The sequence below is a fragment of the Homo sapiens genome, chromosome 5 (assembly GCF_000001405.40).
Source record: "Homo sapiens chromosome 5, GRCh38.p14 Primary Assembly".
NCBI lineage: Eukaryota > Metazoa > Chordata > Mammalia > Primates > Hominidae > Homo > Homo sapiens.
In genome coordinates, this window is record NC_000005.10 from 31,854,844 (window position 1) to 31,877,995 (window position 23,152).

General features: G+C 45.5%; 1 protein-coding gene and 1 long non-coding RNA gene across 8 annotated transcripts in view, besides 1 other annotated feature; both read left to right on the top strand.

Moving 5' to 3' along the window:
• The window catches only part of PDZD2 (PDZ domain containing 2), a 471,802-nt gene that overhangs the window by 215,713 nt on the left and 232,937 nt on the right, over positions 1-23,152 (top strand). The window lies entirely within an intron of this gene.
• LOC124900953 (uncharacterized) lies at positions 13-7,132 on the top strand. 2 transcript variants are annotated; one of them, XR_007058717.1, is made up of 2 exons: positions 13-325; positions 1,315-7,132. It is a non-coding gene; the product is annotated as an uncharacterized LOC124900953 (long non-coding RNA). The 2 variants fall into 2 exon arrangements; XR_007058718.1 differs by having other exon boundaries at positions 246-1,144.
• Positions 22,245-22,746: an enhancer, noted in NCBI's record as "OCT4 hESC enhancer chr5:31877194-31877695 (GRCh37/hg19 assembly coordinates)". NCBI's record gives its function as "activates a minimal SCP1, AML or CMV promoter by ChIP-STARR-seq in primed H9 embryonic stem cells {active_cell/tissue: H9 hESC(primed)}" and the evidence as "EXISTENCE:reporter gene assay evidence [ECO:0000049][PMID:30033119]".

Below are 23,152 nucleotides of genomic sequence, written 5' to 3' on the forward strand. Positions count from 1 at the left end.
GAGTGGCGAGCCGAGTTTAGGATTGCATTACAGGCTTTTCCTAACCTCCTCCACCGCGGCGCGGAGGGAGGAGGGGGGGGTCCTCCCACAGACCTGGAGCCGGCGGAGAGCAGCCTTCGGGAAGTCCTGCAGGAGCCGCGTTCCAGGAGGGCAGCTGGCAGCCGCCCCAGGCCCCCGGGCCGCCTGCAGGTGATTAGGCTAATGAGCTGCCCCGGGGGCGCGGAGACCGGCCTGGCGAGCGGATTACCCGGCGCCCAGCTGCTGCCGGCGGAGACTCCCAGGAGCTCCGGAGAGGAACCCTCCGAAGGTGACTTCAGAACTGGAGGTAGGAAATCGGCTTCTCAGGCGAAAGCCTCAGGTTTTCTGATCTGATCCAGGTCGGGTGCAGACTGGGGCTGAATCCACAAATGTGGAGATTTAGCCACAGCCTCGGAGGCGCGGAGCGGCCACCTAAGCGTCTGCCCTTCTCGTCTCCCGGATCACTGGGGTGTGTTGTTTTTAAAGTGGGGGATTTGCGTGTTGAGAGACGGTTTGTGTTCCTCGGGAGGAGTAAGTGACTTGGAGCTGGTTTGTCAATGGCTGGACGGAAGGAGGCGCCCCGGCTGTGTGTGACGGGCAGGGAAGGGGTGCCCAGAGGGGACAGGTAATAGGGGGTTCCGGAGCCACGGCGGTTTCAGAACCTTGGGGCCTGTGCCGTTGAAGCCCCGGTAGGGGCGGGGGGCATGGCAGCAGCCCGGGAAATCTGTCATACTGTCCCCCATCCCTCGCTAGCAGCAGAATGACTGAGACGGAGCAAAGCTGCTTTCTCTACCCGCGGGAACTGTGGATGATTTCACAAGAAGTCGTGATGGCATTTGGAGACAGATCTTTGCCCCCAAATTACTAAACAGCCTGCTTGGACAACAGCCCCACCACTGATTCCCAAAATGTTTTGATCATAGGATCCACAAATCAAAGATATTTAAAGATGCAGGATGTTTGGAAAGAGAATGGCATTTTCTGTCCTGTAGCTCCTCTCTACTAGGTAGTTGATAAACACCAGAAGTGAAATGAAGTCAGTCTTGTCTCATGAGATGGAGGGAAAGAAGGCGGTAACTACAGCTGTCATCCTGGGAACCATGTCTGGGAGAAAAAGACTGTGAATGTAAACAGTAAACAAATGCTTTTCATAGAAATAGGCCAGGCTGAGTTTGGTATCATAAGGGGATATAATAAACTCTAAATAATATAGACATATCTTTAAATACATACAAAATAATATTTTCAGAGTTTGCACTCTTACACTGTTTTGTAACTCTCAATTCAACTTTGCAGGTGAATTGCAAGGGCCTCATCTCGTCCCCAGCTGCTAATCTGGCCATTGAATGCTAACCTGTAGGCCTCCGTGGCTCCTTTTGCTGAGATGTTAATGGAGTTGAGAGGATACGGGACCCACCCACAGTTAATCCAGGATCTTCAGTCAAACCCAAGGCCCCTGGGTGCAGCTGCAGGACTCACAGACAGGATGGCCTCTGGGGAAAGAGGCCTGTGTCAGGTCTTAAGGAAGAAAAAGAGTTCTCAGAGCGGGCCACAAACAAAAGAAACAAGAAAGGGAAAGTGATGGGGTTCGGAATCGAAGTGAATTTAAGGCTTATCTGGGCCCTCACCCTCTCTGAGCCTGCATTGCTGGGTGTAATTGCCAGCCTCCCTCTTATCTAGAGTGAAGGAAAGATGGTCTAAGAGCAGCAAAGTCACCAAACTGCCTTTCTGCCTCCTCACGTCCCTAAATTTCCCAGCGGCGCACCTGGCACGTAGTAGCGCTTCCCTTGAGCCTCTGTTCCTGCTAATCTCTGTCACACTTAGGGATGGTGTCGTTGAAGAGAATGGTGAGTCCATTGCACTGTTTCCTGGGACATCAAGGTCGCTTACCTGCTCTCCCCTTTTGCCTTCTTCATCGTCTTCTGTTTCCCAGAGGTTTGGCCAAGTGCTTGTTGCTCTGCCCTCCAGAGGGTGGGTGCTTCCTGATTTTACTGGATTTTCATTCCGGAATCAGACTTATAGCGTGAGCTTCCCTCCTTATCAAAACTATATATATATATATATATATATATATAACTTTAAAAAGTCAAATATGTCTACAAGGCTTATAACTAGGGACAGTACTCACTCACCTTACCTCTTACCAACTTCCAGTTCTTTGTCTTTTCTAGAGGCGTGGTCTTGTTATGTTGCCCTGGCTGGTCTCAAACTCTTGGGCTGCCTCAGCAAACCTCCTGCCTCAGCCTCCCAAAGTGCTGGGATCATAGGCGTGAGTCACCACACTCAGCCTCAACTTCCACTTCTGTGCCCCAGAGACAACCATTTTCAACTCTTTGCACTTATTTCTAGTTAGCAAGTACATACTGCCCACTGGGTCCCTCCCTCATGAGAACTCTGTCCTCCTCCGCTTGCCGCTCTTGAGGCCAGTTGCACATCCATCATTGTGGGGTCTCCTCTCACTGTTATTATGAGAATTTATTTTGCTGATTTCTCATGTAGCATCCCGTGTGTTTTAGACCCCATGTCTTCCTTTTTCTTTACATTCTTTTGCTGGTAAAATACACCTTCCAGAAGTTCCTGAGAAAGAGGACATGGGAGGCAAGTTTTTTGAGATCCTCCAAGGTTGACATAGGTTGCATGGAGTAGGAACTCTAGGTTGGAAATCCCTTTCTCTCAGAAGTTAGAAAGCATTGCTTTTCTAGATTTCAGAATTGCCATTGAGATGTGTGGTGTCATTCTAAAGGCTTATGCTTTGAATGGATATCCCCTCCTGAAAGTTCTTAGGATTTCCTCGTCATCCTCTAATATTCTCTCTGTTGTCATGAAGTTTCATTGTAAGACTTGGTGTGAGTCTTTTCCCATCCATTTTACTAGGCTTCCAGTGGGCTTTCTCAATCTAGAAACTCTGCCCTTCCATTCTGAACAGTTTGCTAGAGTTTTGTTGGTTTCGTGTGTGTGTATTTTTATTTTTATTTATTTATTTTGGAGATGGAGTCTCGTTGTCACCCAGGCTGGAGTGCAGTGGTGCGATCTCAGCTCACTGCAACCCCTGTCTCCCGGGTTCAAGTGATTCTCCTGCCTCACACCCCGAGTAATTCGGACTACAGGCATGCACCACCACACCCAGCTAATTTTTGTATTTTTAGTAGAGACGGGATTTCACTGTGTTGGCTAGGCTGGTCTCGAACTCCTGAACTCAGGTGATCTGCCCGTCTTGGCCTCCCACAGTGCTAGGATTACAGGTGTGAGCCACCGCACCTGGCCTTTTTTTGTGTGTTTTTAGTAGAGGCGGGGTTTCACCATGTTGGCCAGGCTGGTCTCGAACTCCTGACTTCAGGTGATCCGCCCATCTTGGCCTCCCAAAGTGCTGGGATTATAGGCATGAGCCACCGTGCCCAGCCAGTTTCCTAGAGTTTAAAAACAAAAAAATTCCTTCCTTCTCCTCTGGGACACCCAGTTAATTGGAAGGAGACCCGCATGGATTGACTCTCGAATTTTCTTACTTAAACCTCCTTTGCAAAAATTAGTACAGCTATGATAGTGAAAGAGATGTGATCTGACTCCATCTTGCTTCTAACCTCCAGGTTGTCCTGATTCATTCCTGAGTGTAGGCCAAACTAACTTTGGGAGGAACTTAGTTTATAGTTTAACTTTGAAACAAAGATGATTACAGCCCTTTCCCAAAACAAATCTCCTTATTGCCTGGGGACCAGACTGCCTTTGTAGGACTAACAAATTAGCCATAAGATTTGCAGCTTGATAACATCACTATTGTAGAACCTAAGGTTGGCCTTTTGAGATGTCTTTTCAGGTTTTTGCATTTCTCTTTTCCTTCCTTCATCCCTCCCTCCCTCCCTTCCTCCCTTCCTCTTTATGAGATGGAGTCTCCCTCTGTTGCCCAGGCTGGAGTGTAGTGGCATGATTTCAACTCACTGCAACCTCTGCCTCCCGGGTTCAAGTGATTCTTGTGCCTCAGCCTCCCAAGTAGCTGGGACCACAGGCATGCATCACCTTGCCCAGCTAATTTTTGTATCTTTAGTAGAGTCGGGGTTTCACCATGTTGCCCAGGCTGGCCTTGAACTCCTGACCTGAAGTGATCCGCCTCAGCCTCCCAAAGTGCTGGGATTACAGATGTGAGCCCCCGAGCCCAGCCAAGGTTTTTGCATTTCTGACAACTAGTGGCTTCACCTAGACCTGCCAAGTGGTCCTGTGGCCCCACCCAGAAGTGGACTCAGCATGAGGACCATTTTCCACACCCCTATGATTGAATCCCCAACCAATCAGCAGCACCCATTCCCTAGCCACTCCCTCCCCCAAACTATCCTTAAAAAAACATAGCCTTCAAATTTTCAGAGAGACTGATTTGAGTCATAAAACCCCCCATTCTCTTGGCTGGCTCTGTGTCAATTAAACCTTCTCTATTGCAATTCCCCTGTCTTGATAAATTGGCTCTATCTGGGCAGCAGGCAAAATGAACCTGTTGGGTGGTTACATTACCCTTTTTCTTATACTTTCTATCTCCTTTTAAAAAAAACATTTCTACTTCCTGGGAAATTTCCTCATTTTTGTCTTCCAACCCATATGTTCAGTTTTTATGTCTGTCATCATATTTGTAATTCCCAAGAAAGCCTTAAAAATATCTGAAATTTTCTTTTTATAACCTCCTGTTACTGTTTCTTGGATGAAAAGCTTCTCAATTCTCTGTAGATCTCAATTACAGCTATCTTTGAAGCATTTCTCTACTCCCTGCACTCTTTGTTTCCTCTGATTGCTAGTTTTTTGTTTGTTTGTTTGCTTTTGGTTTTTAATCACTTCCACATTAAAGGCTTTCTTCAAATGTCTGATGATCCTTGACTGATCACTCACTAAAAAGCTAACTGGAAGGTCTACATAGATGAAATATACCCAAGAATAGTTCCTTCTTACTAAGAAGGAGGCATAGAACAATGTCTCAGAATCTAGAACAATGCCTGGCACACACTAACCTTTCCATACATGTAATATTTGCTGAGTAACTGAATGACATACACTCTTGCTGGGGCCCCGGGTAGTTGCCAGTATTAAAAGCTCTCAGGTGATTGAAATCTGCGGCTAGCACAGAGGACCTCTGCTGTAGGATTAGCTCATTGGTGGTTTCATTGGAGGATTCACACCTGATAGTGGAAAGTCTTTGTTCTCTGGAGAAACTGGGTGAAGAGAAATCCCCTACACTGAGGGGAGTTGGTTGGCTGCAGTGTTCTGGGAACCAGATGAGAAGGAGACTTGAAGTCTAACTATTTGGTATGATGACTGTCTTATTCACCTGTTTTTTCGCCCCTGCCTCAGCTATACCTGGTGTCACTGAGTCCAGAGTTGCCGAGACACAGCAGAGCACACAGATTGCAGAATTTCAGCCTTCACTTGGTACCTAGGGCCAAGGTGATTTAGGGTCCCTTCCGCCTCAGTGCATGTTGCCCCCAATTCCAGAGGCGCTCTAGGGCATAAATCCCAAACTGGCTTTCCACACTGCTGTGCTAGGTTTTCACTTTCTCCCACCTGCTAAGTTACCACTAGTTTGTCTACATTCCAGCTTCCAAAATTGTGTTGCAATCATTGTTTCTCCTGTTCTCTGTATCTTTGAGAGGCTAGCAATCCTCCCTTTACCCTCACTCATGTCAGACCATTGTGTTTACTGGCAAATGAGTCTCCCTGCCTGATGTCCCAACTTTGCCCCAGAACCCTCCTCTCAGTTTCTCCTTCTGTTGCAGGTGCCCACTCGGGGCCACATTTCAGGTAGGCTACATCGAACTTTCATCTCAGCAGTAGTCATTAAAAACCAGCCGCTGAAGAATGGTGGCTGTTGGTCATTCCTGTTGGCATGGTAGCGTCTTCTTCATTGGATCATTATGCTGCTGCTTCTGTACGGAGTATTGGGCAGAAGGCATTTCTGAACATATTTGATGCTATGACTTATCAGGGTTCTGTCTGTGTGGATAACTGTACAGCACATTAACTTTGAAATATGTCCATTTCCTTCTTTGGCCCTCAGTAGCAGCCCATTGCGTGGTGGTGTGGTCAGGTGGACATGGAAGCATTGTTCTCTGAGATGATTAGCCCATTCAGGTCACATATCTCCATTCCATGCCCCAGAGACAAGCATAGGAAAGAGCTCGCTATCAAAGGCTAAGCAATAAAGAGTAAAGGAAAGTCTGTCGTGGAGTTTCTAGGGAAGGTATGCCCACTACCAAGAAAAAGACGCAAAATAGATGGCCCTTTTGCTTTCTCCCTGTGTTGCTGTGTAAACTGGCATAGGCATCTTGTCTCCAGCCTTAGGATGCAGCCACTGTGCAGGAGAGAGTAAGTAGCAGGTCCCAGAGAAGCACAGCTCAGAGCCCCACCCTTCCTCTGCACTTCCTGGCATGTGAGATGATTAATTTTCTCCCTGTTTAAGCCACTTTGAGTCAGGGTTTGATATCATTTGCTGCCAAAGTGATACAGGTGGAGATTTATTTATGCATCGCTTATCTCCAAAAAGAGTTGAGGCAGACCGTGGGCTCACTCAGATTTGAGCTGCCCGATTCCTCTTCTGATTCTCATTCTGATTCCAAGTAGAATTCCTCTCTACTCTATTTTCTAGGCAGATGAAAGTAATTTTATTCTTTCTTCCAACTTCAAAGGAAGGAATAACTATTGAGACATTTGGGGAAAAGGGGGAGTTCCTTGCTTTGGAGATTGCCGGCTGAACCCAGGGAGCAAACATCCTGGGCTGTCACTGAAGTGAGGACTGCTTTTAAATGACACAGCACTGAAGACACTTCATGCTTCTGCTTGTGAAAAGCCAAGCACTAGTTTTCACTCCCTCCTAGGACTGTGGAGGCTGAAAGGTCTGCCTGCAGACTTGGTATGGTTTCTTCCGTCTTCCACCCTTTGTGCCTCCCAGACTTTGGGAAGTTTTGAAGATGAAACAAGCTCCGGAAGTGCTTGGTGGTGTCAGGAAGACCAGAATACAGGAGAAAGTACCCTGTTTGTTCCTGTATTTTCCGGTCTGACTCAAGTAGCAATGATGTACTCTATTTTTATGAATGGAAGGCCTTCAAAGCCTGTTCTATACTATATAAATGTATGCCTTATACTATATAGTTCATCATTATATCCTGAACACCCTACACCATCTGTGATATACAATTGGTATTCAAACATTATTGTGAATGAACAACACAAGGATTGCTCATGTTAATAGACTCAATGTTTTTTTTTTGGGTTTTTTTTTTTTTTTTTTTTTTGAGATGGAGTCTCGCTCTGTTGCCTAGGCTGGAGTGCAGTGGCACAATCTCAGCTCACCCCAACATCCACCCCAGGGTTCCAACGATTCTCCTGCCTCAGCCTCCCAAGTAGCTGAGACTACAGGTGTGCTCCACCACACCCGGCTAATTTTTTTATTTTTAGTAGAGATGGGTTTTGCCATGTTGGCCAGGCTGGTCTCAAACTCCTGACCTCAGATGATCCACCCGTCTCGGCCTCCCAAAGTGCTGGAATTACAGGCATGAGCCACCATGCCAGGCCCAGACTCATTAATTTTAATGGCAGCATATTTTCCCATTGAGTTGAAGGACCATAATTTGCACACCTATATCCCCAGGACTGGACATTTAAGTAGTATGGGCTAGAATATCTGAGACATGCGGTCATTAATTGGGAGACAACCATGGCACCTTTTCTTTTCTTTTTTTTTTTTTTTGAGAAGGAGTTTCACTCTGATCCCCAGGCTGGAGTGCAGTAGTGCAATCTTGGCTCACTGCAACCTCTGCCTCCCAGGTTCAAGCAATTCTCCTACCTCAGCCTCCATAGTAGCTGGGATTACAGGCATGTGCCACCAGACCCAGCTAATTTTTATATTTTTTTTCCAAGATGGAGTGTTGCTCTTTCGCCCAGGCTGGAGTGCAGTGGCCTGATCTCGGCTCATTGCAACCTCTGCCTCCCGGGTTCAGTGATTCTTCTGCCTCAGCCTCCTAAGTAGCTGGGATTACAGGCACGCGCCGCTACGCCCAGCTAATTTTTTTGTATTTTTGATAGAGACAGGGTTTCACCATGTTGGCCAGGCTGGTCTCAAACTCCTGAGCTTGTGATCTGCCTGCCTCGGCCTCCCAAGGCGTGGCAATCCCACGCCTGCTGGGATTACAGGCGTGAGCCATGGCGCCCAGCCAATTTTGATTTTTATTTTTTAGTAGAGACGGAGTTTCACCATGTTGGTCAGGCTGGTCTCGAACTCCTGACTGCAAGTGATTCTGCCTGCCTCGACCTCCCAAAGTGCTGGGCTTACAGCCATGAGCCACTGCGCCCGGCCATGAGACCTTTTTTTTGACTGTTCTGTTTCTTCTCCATCTTCTTGACCCCTAACCTTCTCAGAGGCCCTAATCATCCCAGTTCCAGATTGCCATTGCCAGCAGCCGAACTCAGCACAAAAGTAGATGGCATTTTGGAAGCACTGATATTTTTGTAGCTTTTCCCAGGGGTTCCTGTTAAGCATTAGTTGGCAGGGAATTGCCACTTGAAATGTGCATCCCTGAAGTGGTGCCTGCCTAGCGTGGTTTTCCAGGTGGTTTCTTCTCACATGTCTTATTACACTTTTGAATCTAGAGATTATATACCTGTCTCTTCGATTTGTTAGGACTTTCTGCTGACCTCTGAGATGCTTGTTTTAATTGCCAACTGATAGAAAATGTAAGTGGAAAAATGCATTAGGGTGCAAAGTTTGGAGTTGGTTTTATCTCTGGAAATTGGTGAGCTTGTGGGGATAGGGGATGACGGAAAACTGTTAGAGACAATTTTGTCTGGTTAGTGGGCTGTTGTCTTAACAGTTTCACTTGTCAGTCCCTCTGTAAGTATACCATTCCTTAGACAATATAAGCATTCCGTGGAAGTTTACACATAAAGAAATTTCTGTTTTTGTAACTTACATCTGAGATATGCTAGAAGACCTTGATGTTTCCATTTAGATTAATCCTATGGTGAAGACCTTTTGTAGAACAAATAATTTTTTAAAAAAAGTCATAAGACATTTGTCCCAAATACATAACAGATATATATATGCATGTGAGCGTAACTTACAGTTGTGTATGTGTTGTCATTTCTTCCCCCGCCCCCAATTCATTCTCTTTCTTCCTCTGTACTAAGAGGATTGTGTCTGTGAACTGCAGCATCTGGACTCCTTGCTTTTTCTGTTTCTGGTTGGGTTCAGCCAATGGGAGGCACTGGCAGGGGATCAGAGGAGGAGGAAAGAGCATCTGGGTATTTATCTCCCTAGCAGTCCCCCTAACCTTGCTGGGCTTCTGACGATGGCTGATTTCTTCTAAGCGCTTGAGGCACTTTCCTAGCTCCAGCTCCTGCATAGTCTGATAATGCTGCTTCCTTCCCATGCTCTTCAGACCTAGAGGTCCTAGCAGTTTCCCTTCTGTTGTTGCTAGCCCCAGGGTGCTGCACTCTGCCTGTCTCCGGTCTGCACCTCTGTAAACAGTCCCTGCCTAAAACAGTCTCCAGCGAAACCTTTTTTAGTGTGCCTTCTGTTTCCTGCTGGACTCTGACTGATAGTCTATGTCCATTTCTTTCTCATATATAATCTTAATTGTCATGCTTGGCTCTAAAATGCCAGTTACGTTTACTACATCTGAATTTGAATTGCATCCTTTTTTTTTTTTGGAGACGGAGTTTCGCTCTTGTCGCCCAGGCTGGAGTGCAATGGCACAATCTCAGCTCACTGCAACCTCTGCCTCCCAGGTTCAAGTGATTCTCCTGCATCAGCCTCCCGAGTAGCTGGGATTACAGGCATGAACCACCACGCCTGGCTAATTTTTGTATTAGTAGACACAGGGTTTCACCATATTGGCCAGGCTGGTCTCAAACTCCTGACCTCAGGTGATCTCACCTCAGACTACCAAAGTGCTGGGATTATAGGCATGAGCCACAGTGCCCAGTCGAATTGTATCTTGTATGAGATTTGTCTTTTTTTTTTTTTTTTTTTTTTTTTTTGAGACGGAGTCTCGCTCTGTCGCCCAGGCTAGTGTGCAGTGGCGTAATCTCGGCTCACTTCAAGCTCCGCCTCCTGGGTTCATGCTGTTCTCCTGCCTCAGCCCCCCGAGTAGCTGGGACTACAGGCGCCCGCCACCACGCCTGGCTAATTTTTGTATTTTTAGTAGAGACGGGGTTTCACCTTGTTAGCCAGGATGGTCTCGATCTCCTGACCTCGTGATCCGCCCGCCTCAGCCTCCCAAAGTGCTGGGATTACAGGCGTGAACCATCGCGCCCAGCTGAGATTTGTCATCTTATTCTTGTGTCTATTCTGTCCTTTTCCAATAGATTATGAGTCCTGGGGGAGGAGGAAAATGATTCAGCCTTCTCCCTCCAATGTCTTACACTGTTTAACATAGAGGTTACAACAATTGGCAACTCTTTTTTGTTGTTGTTTTTGTTTTGTTTTGTTTTTGGCTTTTTTTGAGACAAGGTCTTGCTCTTTGTCCCAGGCTGGTGTGCAGTGGCGCCATCACAGCTCACTGCAGCCTCGACCTCTCAGGCCCAAGTGATCCTGCCACCTGAACCTCCCAAGTAGTTGGGACCACAGGTGTACACCACCTCACCCAGCTCATTTTTATTTTTTTGTAGAGATGGGGTCTCCCTGTGTTGCCCAGGCTGGTCATGAACTCCTAGGCTCAAACAATCCTCCTGCCTCAGGTTCCCAAAGTGCTGGGATTACAGGTGTTAGCCTGTAATCTGTGTCTACTGGCAACTTTTTTTTTTTTTTTTTTTTTTTTTTTTTTGAGATGGAGTCTTGCTCTGTGGCCCAGGCTGGAGTTCAGTGGCGCAATCTCGTCTCACTGCAAGCTCCGCCTCCCGGGTGCCCCATTCTCCTGCCTCAGCCTCCCAAGTAGCTGAGATTACAGGCGCCCACCACCACGCCCGGCTAATTTTTTGTATTTTTAGTAGAGGCTGGGTTTCACCGTGTTAGCCAGGATGGTCTCGATCTCCTGACCTCGTGATCTGCCCGCCTCGCCCTCCCAAAATGCTGGGATTACAGGCGTGAGCCACCGCACCTGCCCTTTTTTTTTTTTTTAATCCCCTGGGTTTACCAGGATGGCAACTCTTGTTTTTGTTTTTGTCTTGTTTTGTTCTTGATTTTGGTTTTTTTTTGAGATAGGGTCTCACTGTTGCCCAGGCTGGAGTACAGTGGCACAATGAGAGCTCACTGCAACCTCCGCCTCTCTGGCTCAAGCAGTTCTCCCACCTCAGCCTCACGAGCTGGGACTGCAGGCGGGGGCCGTCACACCTGGCTAATTTTTGTCTTTTTTATGAAGATGGGGTTTTGCCATGTTGTCCAGGCTTGTTTCGAACTCCTGAACTCAAGCAGTCGGCCTGCCTCGGCCTCTGAAATTGTTGGGATTACAGGCATGAGCCACCGCACCCAGCCTCAGGATGGCAACTCTTGAAGTAGAATAATAACATACATATCAAAGCCCTGTGTGTGTTTCCTGTTAGTGCTGTTGGCAGTGCCTTCTAGTAGTGCTGCAGCTGAGCTCAGACTCTTAATTCCTGCTGTCGGCCCGGGCATCTGAGGGCAGAGAGAGGGTGGGTATGACCCCCTGCAGAAGGTGGTGATGGCGTCTGGGAGGATTCGTGCCCTCACAGCTGCTTAGGAGCCTCCCCGACGATACTCTCCCACCACCCTTAAAGGCATCATACCACAAGTGTGCAAATTATTTTTTAAAAAAGAAGAGAAAGGGAAGACAGAAAGCTGCTGACCCTGCCAGCTGACCTCATGTTGGCCATGCTGTCCTGTGGGAGAGGCACCTGTTTCTGTTGCTGTGTTCTTGGGACCCAACGTTTTGGATTCTAGTCTGTATGCGGGTATCATATCTGTGACTATTAGTGAATTTTCATAACTTTGATTTGTGTCCTTATCAGTGTCAGTTCATTCGTGCAGTAAGCAATTACTGAGTGCCAGTTACAGGCAACACACTGCTAGCAATTAGCTGTCATGTTTTTCAGAGTCAGGGGTTCCTTAAGGAACTGAAATAATAGAATTTTCTAGCTAGAAGGGATCTCAGAGCATGTCTAATCCAGCTTCATCCTTCGAAGGTGAAGTTCAGCCCAAAAGGTTCAGGGCTTTGTCTGGAGCACAGTAAATGCCGTGGATGGTAGCAGACCTCCATGCCTTGACTCTGCCTGGAGTTCTTTCCTCATTTTGCTCTGGTTACACCACCTGGTCGTTTCCTGGGTGCTTTCTGGTGCAACTAACCTCCACCAGGTATCCTTTAAAAAGCTTCTCTGCTGCTCTTTATTGCTTCCCTCTGGCTGCAAATGCAAACCAGAAAGTCATGCTCTTGAGCTCATAAAAAAACCTAATGGGATGCAGACAGCAGATTCCAACCTAGACTTCAGCGCAGCCCCAGTGTATACAGTTGGGGGCTATCCAGACCAGCCCACTGCTGCTCTGGAGCATCTCTCCACCTTTAAACTTCAGAGCAGCATTTTATGTGGGTATATGAGGTGCTGGGGTTGGGCTGGGTGAGTTAGTTAAAAGTTGTGTGGTTTTTGGAGCCAGAGCCTCAGCCTCATCTGCAGAAGAAGTGGTTTCCTTCAGGCCAGGTGAGGGCTGCTGGCAGAGCCTTTCTCTGGGAGGCCTTTGCTGCTACACGGAGATCGGTGCTGCTTCTGGTTTGGCCCTTCACGGGTCTATATTTAGTTCAAGGACCAGGGTATCAGGTGTTCCCTACAAAATCAAAATATTTTGGCTCCACTAAATCTACAGCTTCAAGTTGGATTCAGATGGACAAGAAAAAGCCTTTCCTTAATGAAGAGACGCAAAGCAAATTAGACTGCCTGAGAGCAAGCTGAGGTCTGTGTGTGATGAGGTGAATCCTAGTTACTGAGTGTTCCGCCCTCCACGTGTTATATTCTTCTACATATGTGTGTCAGCCAGAGTCCTGATAAATCCCTACCCGTAACTATCAGACAAAGGTTCAGGAAGATTAGGGAAAGGAAGGCAGCAGGTGTGGGGTGGGGCGGGGAGGGGCGGGGCAGAGCAGGGCAGGGGGAGCTGGTGACCTTTACTGAGTGCCTGCTATTTGTCAGGATTTGTGCTGGGAGTTTTAACTGGGGGATCTCACACCTAGATAACTGAGGGTTATCATTTTGCAGATCTGGGCCTGAGGCTCAGAAGGGCCTTGACATACCCTGTGTTGCATAGGTAAGTGGTATGTCACATGGTCACCTCTGTCTGACCCCACACACAAACCATCTCAGTGAAGGAATATTGTTCTAAAAGCAGCTGTTGGCCGGGCGCGGTGGCTCATGCCTGTAATCCCAGCACTTTGGGAGGCTGAGGTGGGTGGATCACGAGGGTCAGCAGTTCAAGGCCAGCCTAGCCAACATGGTGAAACCCTGTCTCTACTAAAACTACAAAAATTAGCTGGGTGTGCTGGCGTGTGCCTTTAATCTCAGCTACTCAGGAGGCTGAGGCAGGAGAATCGCTTGGGCCTGGGAGGTGGAGGTTGCAGTAAGCCAAGATCGCGCCACCTGCACTCCAGCCTGGACGACAGAGCGAGACTCCATCTCAAAATAAATAAATAAATGCAGCTGTCCCGCGTGAGTTTGGGAAAAGCTAGTTAGCATACCTGTCTTGCTTTTCTCAACAATAAAGCAAGGATAAAGTTTGTCACTCCCTCATAGGTTCATGGTGAGGATGGAGTGGGTGAGGGACTGCGCGTAGTGTTCATTACTATGCCGACCGTGGATGCCCTTAATAAAACTTAACTCCTGGGCCCCTTGTTCTGGGTTTGCTGCTGCTGCTTTTTCTAATGGGTTTTGTCACTTTGGAGCCAATTGTTAACATTCTTGAATTACTTTGCTCATTCATAAAATGAGGCTTGCGTTAAAGGTGAGTTTTTTTGTTTGTTTTTGAGACAGAGTCTTGCTCTTTCACCCAGGCTGGAGTGCAGTGGCACGATGTCAGCTCACTGGAACCACCGCCTCCCGGGTTCAAGCAGATTTTCCTGCCTCAGCCTCCAGAGTAGCTGGAACTACAGGCGTGCGCCACCACTCCTGGCTAATTTTTGTATTTTTAGCAGAGATGAGGCTTTGCCATGTTGCACAGGCTGGTCTTGAACTCCTGGCCTCAAATGATCTGCCTGCTTCGGCCTCCCAAAGTTCTGGGATTACAGACATGAGCCACCATACCCAGCCAAAGGTCAGTTTTCTTAATGGAGAAAATCCCAAAGAGAAAGAGGCAAATCCCCATCTTTCATGTTGTAACTATCAAAGTTCCAGACATGCTTTGTCTGTATCTTCCTTCAGGACAAATCCATTTACTTCTACTGGTGAGAGGCTGGACTTGGTCAGCTGTGCGGGAGGAACCTGTGCTGTCTGTAGGTAAATTCCAGCCACGCTCCTCAGCCCTCACCGCTTGGGCTTCCTCTTCTTCCTGACTCACTGTCCCTGTGACGTGTGTTCATCAGCACAGTCCATCTCTTTTTTTCTGCCTCCCCCACCCCTTGGAACAGAAATGTATTGGCTGCATACAAAAATTAGCCGGGCGTGGTGGCGGGCGCCTGTAGTCCCAGCTACTTGGGAGGCTGAGGCAGGAGAATGGCCGTGAACCTGGGAGGCGGAGGTTGCAGTGAGCCAAGATCACGCCACTGCACTCCAGCCTGGGCGACAGAGCGAGACTCTGTCTCAAAAGAAAAAAAAAACAAAAGAAAAAAGAAATGTATTGACTGCGATGAGCACCTTTTATAGCTTGGAATATTGTCCATTGTCCTTTCCACTTCAGTCACTGAAATAGGTAGTGACGGGGACTCCCTTGAAGATCCCAAGGTATTACGCCTTTCTTCAGGATGTTCCAGAAAATTCTCCGTCTCTTACAGCCCTCTCTGGCTCTTATTGCTATTGGCAGTGCCTTCTAGCAGTGCTGCAGCCGAGCTCACAGTCTTAATTCCTGCTGTCGGCTCGGGCATCTGAGGGCAGAGAGAGGGGTGGGTCTGACCCCCTGTAGAAGGTGGTGATGGCGTCTGGGAGGATTCGTGCCCTCACAGCTGCTCAGGAGCCTCTCCGGCGATACTCTCCCACCACCCTTAAAGGCATCATACCACAAGTGTGCAAATTATTTTTTAAAAAAGAAGAGAAAGGGAAGACAGAAAGCCACTGACCCTGCCAGCTGACCTCATCATGTTGGCCATGCTGTCCTGTGGGAGAGGCACCTGTTTCTGTGTTCTTGGGACCCAACACTTTGGATTCCTCCGGAGTTCCCTAGCTCTAGCTTGGGGAATTCTACTCAGGACTTAGTACCATACCGTCTGAGTCACCTGCTGAGGGAAAAGGGCATTTGAGAGAAAATGTGGAAAATAAGTTATATAGCTTACCACATATGCCCACATATAAGGTGTAGAGTCCACCCCGGCCCCTGCAAAAAGTTATCAGAAATGAGACAGTTGCCTTATATTTAAGTCTCTATAAATTTTCTCACACTGTGGGAGCGTCTTGCAATTATTTTGTTTTGAATGAAGTATTATTTAGAGAACACACATTACCTTGAAATGACCTCAGTCAGTGCTGGTTTGGATGCTTTAGAGGTCAGCTAAGGAAATCATATTTTTAAAAAGGAAGAGGGTGGTTTAAAAAATCTAGTAATATCCCAGAGCATCTGACCTCACAGTAGCAAGTGTCAGGTTTCTTTGTAAACAAGTCTTTTTTAAAGATCATTTAAAAATGGAACAAGTTGGCCAGGCGTGGTGGCTCACGCGTATAATCCCAGCACTTTGGGAGGGCGAGGTGGGTGGATCACCTGAGGTCAGGAGTTCGAGACCAGCCTGGCCAACATGGTGAAACCCCCATTTCTACTAAAAATACAAAAATTAGCCGGGCATGGTGGTGGGCACCTGTAATCCCAGCTACTCAGGAGGCTGAGGCAGGAGAATTGCTTGAACCCAGGAGGTGGAGGTTGCAGTGAGTGGAAATCACACCACTGCACTCCAGCCTATGCGACAGATCGAGACTCTGTCTCAAAAAAAAAAAAAAAAAGGAACAAGTTAAGAACCTTATTCAAATAACTTAGATCAAAGTGAAGAAGATATGTTCTGGAAAACTCAAAATGTAGCTGTAATCACAGGAAGTGGTGTAAAAATGCCAATGCCACTGTAGACTTTAAATAAATGTTTTCTTAAAGTGTGAGAGCGAGAGTTGGGAAGAAACCAGAAATCTTTCTAAGTTAGCATTAATTTATATAATGTTTACATATTCATGTATATAATATACAAGTGTATATGCGTTACTCTTAATACCTTAGATCTTAAGTGTATCATATTTTAATATTGTAAATGGGATATTTGCATCTAATAATATAGATTCTTTCATTCACATTTATCTAATCAAATTGCCCCCAAAACGTTTTCAGCTGTCACCTAATTGGGATAGTAGAGGATCACCTGTATTTGGAATAGCCTTTTGATCTAATGGAGAAGTCTTTAATTCGCCCCAATTTTATAGAAAGTGCATGTCAAGAAGTATTTTAATAATATATATTGTCATCTTGAATCATTGCTTCCATACCTTCATTCTCGTTTCTTGCTTGAGCTTTTTTTGTTGTTGAGACAGTCTCGCTCTGTCATCCAGGCTGGAGTGCGGTGACATGATCTCGGCTCAGTGCAACGTCCGCCTCCTGGGTCAAGTGATTCTCCTGCCTCAGCCTCCTGAGTAGCTGGGATTACAGGCGTGTGCCACCATGCCCGGCTAATTTTTGTATTTTTAGTAGACTGGGTTTCGCCATGTTGGCCAGGCTGGTCTTGAACTCCTGACCTCAAGTGATCCACCTGCCTCAGCCTCCCAAAGTGCTGGGATTACAGGCATGAGCCACTGTGCCTGGCCCGTACTTGAGCTTTCATCATTTGCAACAGTCAAGCCAAAATAAAATGAACATAAATACAGGGTTTTTTGTTTGTATTTGTTTTTGTTTTTGTTTTGAATCAGAGTCTTGCTCTGTCACCCAGGCTGGAGTGCAGTGGTGCGAACACAGCTCATGGCAGCCTCAACCTCCTGGGCTCAAGTTATCAACCCTCCTCGGTCTCCTAAAGTGTTGGGATTACAGGTGTGAGCCACCATGCCTGGCTAAAAAAGCAGAATATTAAAATGACTCAAATATATTTTCTTTGAAATCAAGGGATCTACACTAGGAAAAGGGGTACCAACTTATCTTTGGGAGTCACTTCATATCAGGGCATGTGTGGTATTTGGAGTTGTGTTGAGCAGATTAAGGTGAGTGGTGTGTGTGTGTGTGTGTGTGTGTGTGTAACCAGCCCACCTGAGGCTGCTGACAACTTGTGGGCAAAGCAGAGAGCCCAGCCATAGAAGGTGGTAGGGCAGTCTAGAGAGTGCTCCATCTCAGGGTCGGTCAACTTGAGGTTTTGGTGAAACAAACACGGAGAATTTCCCTGGGGAAAAATCATGGGTACAGGAAGGACACAGGTCACTTCTCTAGCTCTTCTTCATCTGCCTCCATGGGAGTGTGGACATGCATTCCCTAGAAAGCATCTTGCCAATAAGTAGTCACAGGCAGACAGGGAGATTGCCACTAGGAAACACACATCCAACAAGAGGCCACCTGGCTGAAGAAGTTTATCTTTTCATGAGATACACTTTCCTTGAAAACAAACACAATATATGTTTAGACCCACTGTGTCTATGTTAACTGGCCTGTCATTGCTCCTTCCTCCCCCAAGGCAGGCTTTTCTGCCCTTTACATTGTTACGAACATTGTATTTATTGTAGCCATTTAGTTGTGGAGAAACCATGGCTGCCCCCAAACTTGAAACATCGGCATATTAGTCAGGGTTCTACAGAGAAACAGAACTGAGAGGATATATATGCACACACATACAGACATATATCTACATACGTGTGTGTATGTGTGTGTGTACAGTCATGCACTGAATAATAACGTTTCAGTAACCAGTGGATTGCATATACGATGATGGTCCCATATGACTATAATGGAACATATACAAAAAAACCTGCTAATGGCACTTGATATTGGCGTTGCAGGACTAGTAGGGGAGATGATTGATAGTAATGGTGCTGAGACATTTGGTTTTCCATATGAAAAAATATATAAATAATCTAGTTTTGTGTAAGTACACTGCGTGATTTTTACACAATGACAATTACTTGACGACACATTTCTCAGAACATATCCCTATCATTAAGCAAAGCATGACTACATATGTATATATGTGTGTACATATATATATGTATATAGAGAGATCCTGAGAGCAATTGAGATTTAAGAAATTTGGTCACAGATCCTAGCACTTTGGGAGACTGAGGCAGGAGAATTGCTTGAGCCAGGAGTTTGAGAACCAGCCTGGGCAACATAATGAGACCCCATCTCTACAAAAAATTTAAAAATTAGCTGGGCATGGTAGCATGTGCCTGTAGTCGCAGCTACTCAGGAGGCTGAGGTAGGAGGATTACCTGAGCCCAGGAGGTGAAGGCTGCAGTGAGTCATGATAGAGCCACTGCTGTACTCCAGTTTGGGTGACAGAGTGAAGCCTTGTCTCACCAAAAGAAAAAAAAAAAATTGGTTCACAGCTCACATGATTGTGGAGGATGACAAGTCCCAAATCTGCAGGGCCAGCTAGAAGATTGAAAATTCTTTTTATTTATTTATTTATTTATTTATTTATTTATTTATTTATTTATTTAATAAAGCCAGGGTCTTGCTATGTTGCCCAGGCTGGTTTCAAATTCCTGGGCTCAAAGCGATCCGCCTGCCTTGGCCTCCCAAAGTGCTGGGATTACAGGCATGAGCCACTGCACCCGGCCAGAAATTCTGATAAGAGCTGACATTGCAGTCTTGAGTCTTTTTTTTTTGACAGAGTTCCGCTCTTGTTGCCCAGGCTGGAGTGCAATGGTGTGATCTCGGCTCACGGCAACCTCCACCTCCCAGGTTCAAGCCATTCTCCTGCCTTAGCCTCCTGAGTAGCTGGGAGTACAGGCATGCATCACCATGCCCAGCTAAGTTTGTATTTTTAGTAGAGATGGGGTTTCTCTGTGTTGGTCAGACTGGTTGAACTCCTAACCTCAGGTGACCCGCCCACTTTGGCCTTCCAAAGTGCTGGGATTACAGGCGTGAGCCACTGTGCCTGGGTGCAGTCTTTGAGTCTTAATTGGGTGCAGGCCAGGCAGGCTGGATACTCAGGCAGGGTTTCTACATGGTAGTCTTGAGGGGACAATTCCATCTGCTTCAAGAAACCTCAATCTTTTCTGTTAAGGTCTTCAGCTAATTGGATGAAGCCCACTCACATTATGGACTCAGAGTTTACTGGTTTAAATATTAATCACTGCTAAAAAATACCTTCACAGTGACATCTAGATTGCTGCTTGACCAAACAACTTGGGCACTATAGCCTGGCCACATTGGCACATAAAAATCAATCATCACAGGTGAGATCAGTAACCATTTATTTGTCTGCCCTGTTTATGTTACGTGTTTTGAAGCAAGGATGGGATTATAAATAAAATACTGAAAGTTGATGAAGAAATACTAGATTTAACATATGCATTTTTAGAATTCTTTTCAAAACTTGAAAGAGAAAATGCAGCCAGGTGTGGTGGCTCACACCTGTAATCCCAGCACTTTGGGAGGCCAGGGCAGGTGGATCACCTGAGGTTGGGAGTTCAAGACCAGCCTGGCCAACATGGTGAAACCCCATCTCTACTAAAAGTAAAAAAATTAGTCGGGTGTGGTGGCACATGCCTATAGTCCCAGCTACTTGGAAGGCTGAGGCAGGAGAATTGCTTGAACCAAGAAGGCAGAGGTTGCAGTGAGCTGAGATCGTGCCACTACACTCCAGTCTGGGCAGCAGAACACGACTCTATCTTAAAAAAAAAAAAAAAAGATAAAATGCAAAACAGAATCTAGCAAACATCTATATGTCTGCCACTCAGATTTAATGGTCATGAATATTTTGTCATATTTGCTTTTAGTCTTTGTTTAAACAACAACAACAACAAAATTATAACAGAAGTCCCCTTTAACCCTGGGAAACCCCAGCTCCATTCCATTCCAGTTTAGTGCATATCCTTCCAGTCTAAGTTTTGATGTTTAAATGCTATGTACTGTTTATAGATAAGCATGTGCATTTTTATGTGTATTTTAGTTGACATAAATAGTATTAATGTATCACGTCTTGCTTTTTATGCTGCTTATTTTTTCCTTTTGAGATCTGGCCATGTCCATGGAGTCATTCATTTTAACTGCCTTTGCTGTTTTGTTTTAAGAAAATTCTCTACATCCTCTATATCTTTCTTCCAGTAATTTTTCATATTTAGGGCTTTTTTGGCTTTCATGTGGAAAATATATAATTAGATCTTCCCTCTGAAGGGAAAAACAAATTTAAGATGAATTAAAAATATATTTCAAGGCCAGGCATGGTGGCTTATGCCTGTAATCCCAGCACTTTGGGAGGCCGAGGCAGACCGATCACTTGAGGCCAGGATTTCGAGACCAGCCTGGCCAACATGGCGAAACCCTGTCTCTACTAAAAATACAAAAAAATTAGCTGGGCGTGGTCGCTCATGCCTGTAATCCTGGCGACTTAGGAGGCTGAGATGGGAGAATTGCTTGAACCTGGGAGGTGGAGGTTGCAGTGAGCCGAGATCACACTACTGCACTCCAGCCTAGGTGACAGAGTGAGACCCTGTTCAAAAAAAAAAAAAATATATATATATATTTTAAAAATATATGTTTAAATATATACAAATTTAATATATTTTTAAAATATAAGCATATAAATTTAATATATATTTAAATATAATCTATTTGGGATTATATATATACACACACCCCAAATCAATTAAAAATCCAGTGCAGTGATTAACATGGTCTTGCCTCACATATATAGTCCCTAAAAATATATAGGTCAGTGTTACGGTTCTTTATTCTCTTCTGATAATTTGTCTATTCCTGCATCAATGTTATGCTAATTACTATAGTTATCTAATGTGTTTTAATATTTGATAGAATGAGTCCATCCTTTCATACTCCTTTTTCACAGTTGTCTTATTCTCAGTTCTTCCCCTATAAACATTAAAATATTTTTCAAGTTTCCTAAAAATTCTTGTTGAGAGACTTACTGGAATTTCACTGAAGTTATTAATTGGGAAATATTGACATCTTTAAAATGTTGTCTTCTCTTCTCCATAAATAAGGTTTATCACTTCATTAATCCAAATATTCTTTTGTATCCTTCAATAAAGTTTTATGATTTCTTATTAAAGTTTCTTTTAGACTTGTGTCTATGTACTTTCTAGTTTTGGTTACTATACCAGCCAGTGTTTTTTCTTAGTATTGCATTCTCTATTTGGTTATTGCTAGTGTAAAGGAATGCGCTTGATTTTTGAATTTGAATTTTTTTTCTTTTTTTTTTTTTTAAAGACAGTCTCACTCTATTGCCCAGGCTGGAGTGCAGTGGTGTGATTTCAGCTCATTGCAACCTCTGCCTCTTGGGTTCAAGCGACTCTCCTGCCTCAGCCTCCCAAGTACCTGGTGTTATAGGTGCATGCCCTCATGCCTGGCTAATTTTTGTGTTTTTAGTAGAGACAGGGTTTCACCATGTTGGTCAGGCTGGTCTCAAACTCCTGACTTCAAGTGATCCACCCACCTCGGCTTCCCCAGTGCTGAGATTACAGGCGCGAGCCACCGTACCTGGCCTGAATTTGGGTTTTTGTTTCCAGTGATCTTGCAGCATCCTCCTATTCTAATTGTTTGGAGGTTGGTCTTGATAATTAAATGTAATCAACTGTCTGCAGGTCTTCAATACTATTTTGAAATATAAACTCTGTAATTACAATGTCATCCACAATTACATAAATTTCCCTGAGTATAATATAACACAGGGCATTGACTCTGGAGTCAGGCTATGTGCCAAGCGACATAAAGATGAAAGCAATGGAGCCCCAGTTCTGGGTGGTGACCAGGTATGGCCTCAAATTCACTCCTTAAAAAATTTCAGTGTCTGTGCAGCTTTTCAAACCACTGGGTTCTGAGACTGCCCAGGTTCTAGCATTTTCACATTTGCATGCCTTGGAAACTATCTGTGCCTCAGGTTTATCTATAAAATGGGGATATTAAAATATCTACTCATGGGAGGTTGTGATGATTCAATGAGTTACTGCATGTGTCCTGCCTGGTTTAAGCTGCTGATAAATGATGATTGTTACTCTATAATAGCATTACTGCATTTTAAAATTTCAGCTGTGTTAAACCTTCTGAGTAGCATAGGATTATTAACAGTTTAGATTCATTAGTACTTTATCAGAAAGTTGTTTTTTTGTTTGTTTGTTTGTTTGTTTTGAGATGGGTTCTCTCTCTGTCACCCAGGCTGGAGTGCAGCGGTGCAATCTCGGCTTACTGCAACCTTGGTCTCTCGGGCTCAAGCGATTCTCCCACTTCAGCCTCCCAAGTAGCTGGGACCACAGGTGCATACCACCACGCTGAGCTAATATTTTTTGGATTTTTGGTAGAGATGGGATCTTGCTGCATTGCCCAGGCTGGACTTGAACTCCTGAGCTCAAGTTATCTGTCTCCCTCGGCCTCTCAAAGTGATAGGATTACAGGCATGAGACACCATGCCTGGCCCAGAAAGTCAGTCTTTTCTCTTTCATAATTTGTTTTAAAATGCTGTACTTTGTTCATTGTCATATCACTTCTGGTAAGGTCACGCCTGGTATCCCTAATGCAGGTCAAAAGGAAAATTGCTTCACAGAAATTTGCTTGAGAAACTTTGCTGAAAGGTCTATTTATTTATTTATTTATTTATTTATTTTGAGACAGAGTTTTGCTCTTTTTGCCCAGGCTGAAATGCAGTGGCATGATCTTGGCTCACTGCAACCTCTCCCTCCCGGGTTCAAGTGATTATCCTACCTCACCCTCCCGAGCAGCTGGGATTACAGGTGCACACCATCGCACCTGGCTAATTTTGTATTTTTAGTAGAGATGGGGTTTCACCATATTGGCCAGGCTGGTCTCGAACTGCTGACTTCAGGTGATCCACCCACCTTGGCCTCCCAAAGTGCTGGGATTACAGGCGTGAGCCACCACGCCTGGACTATTTTT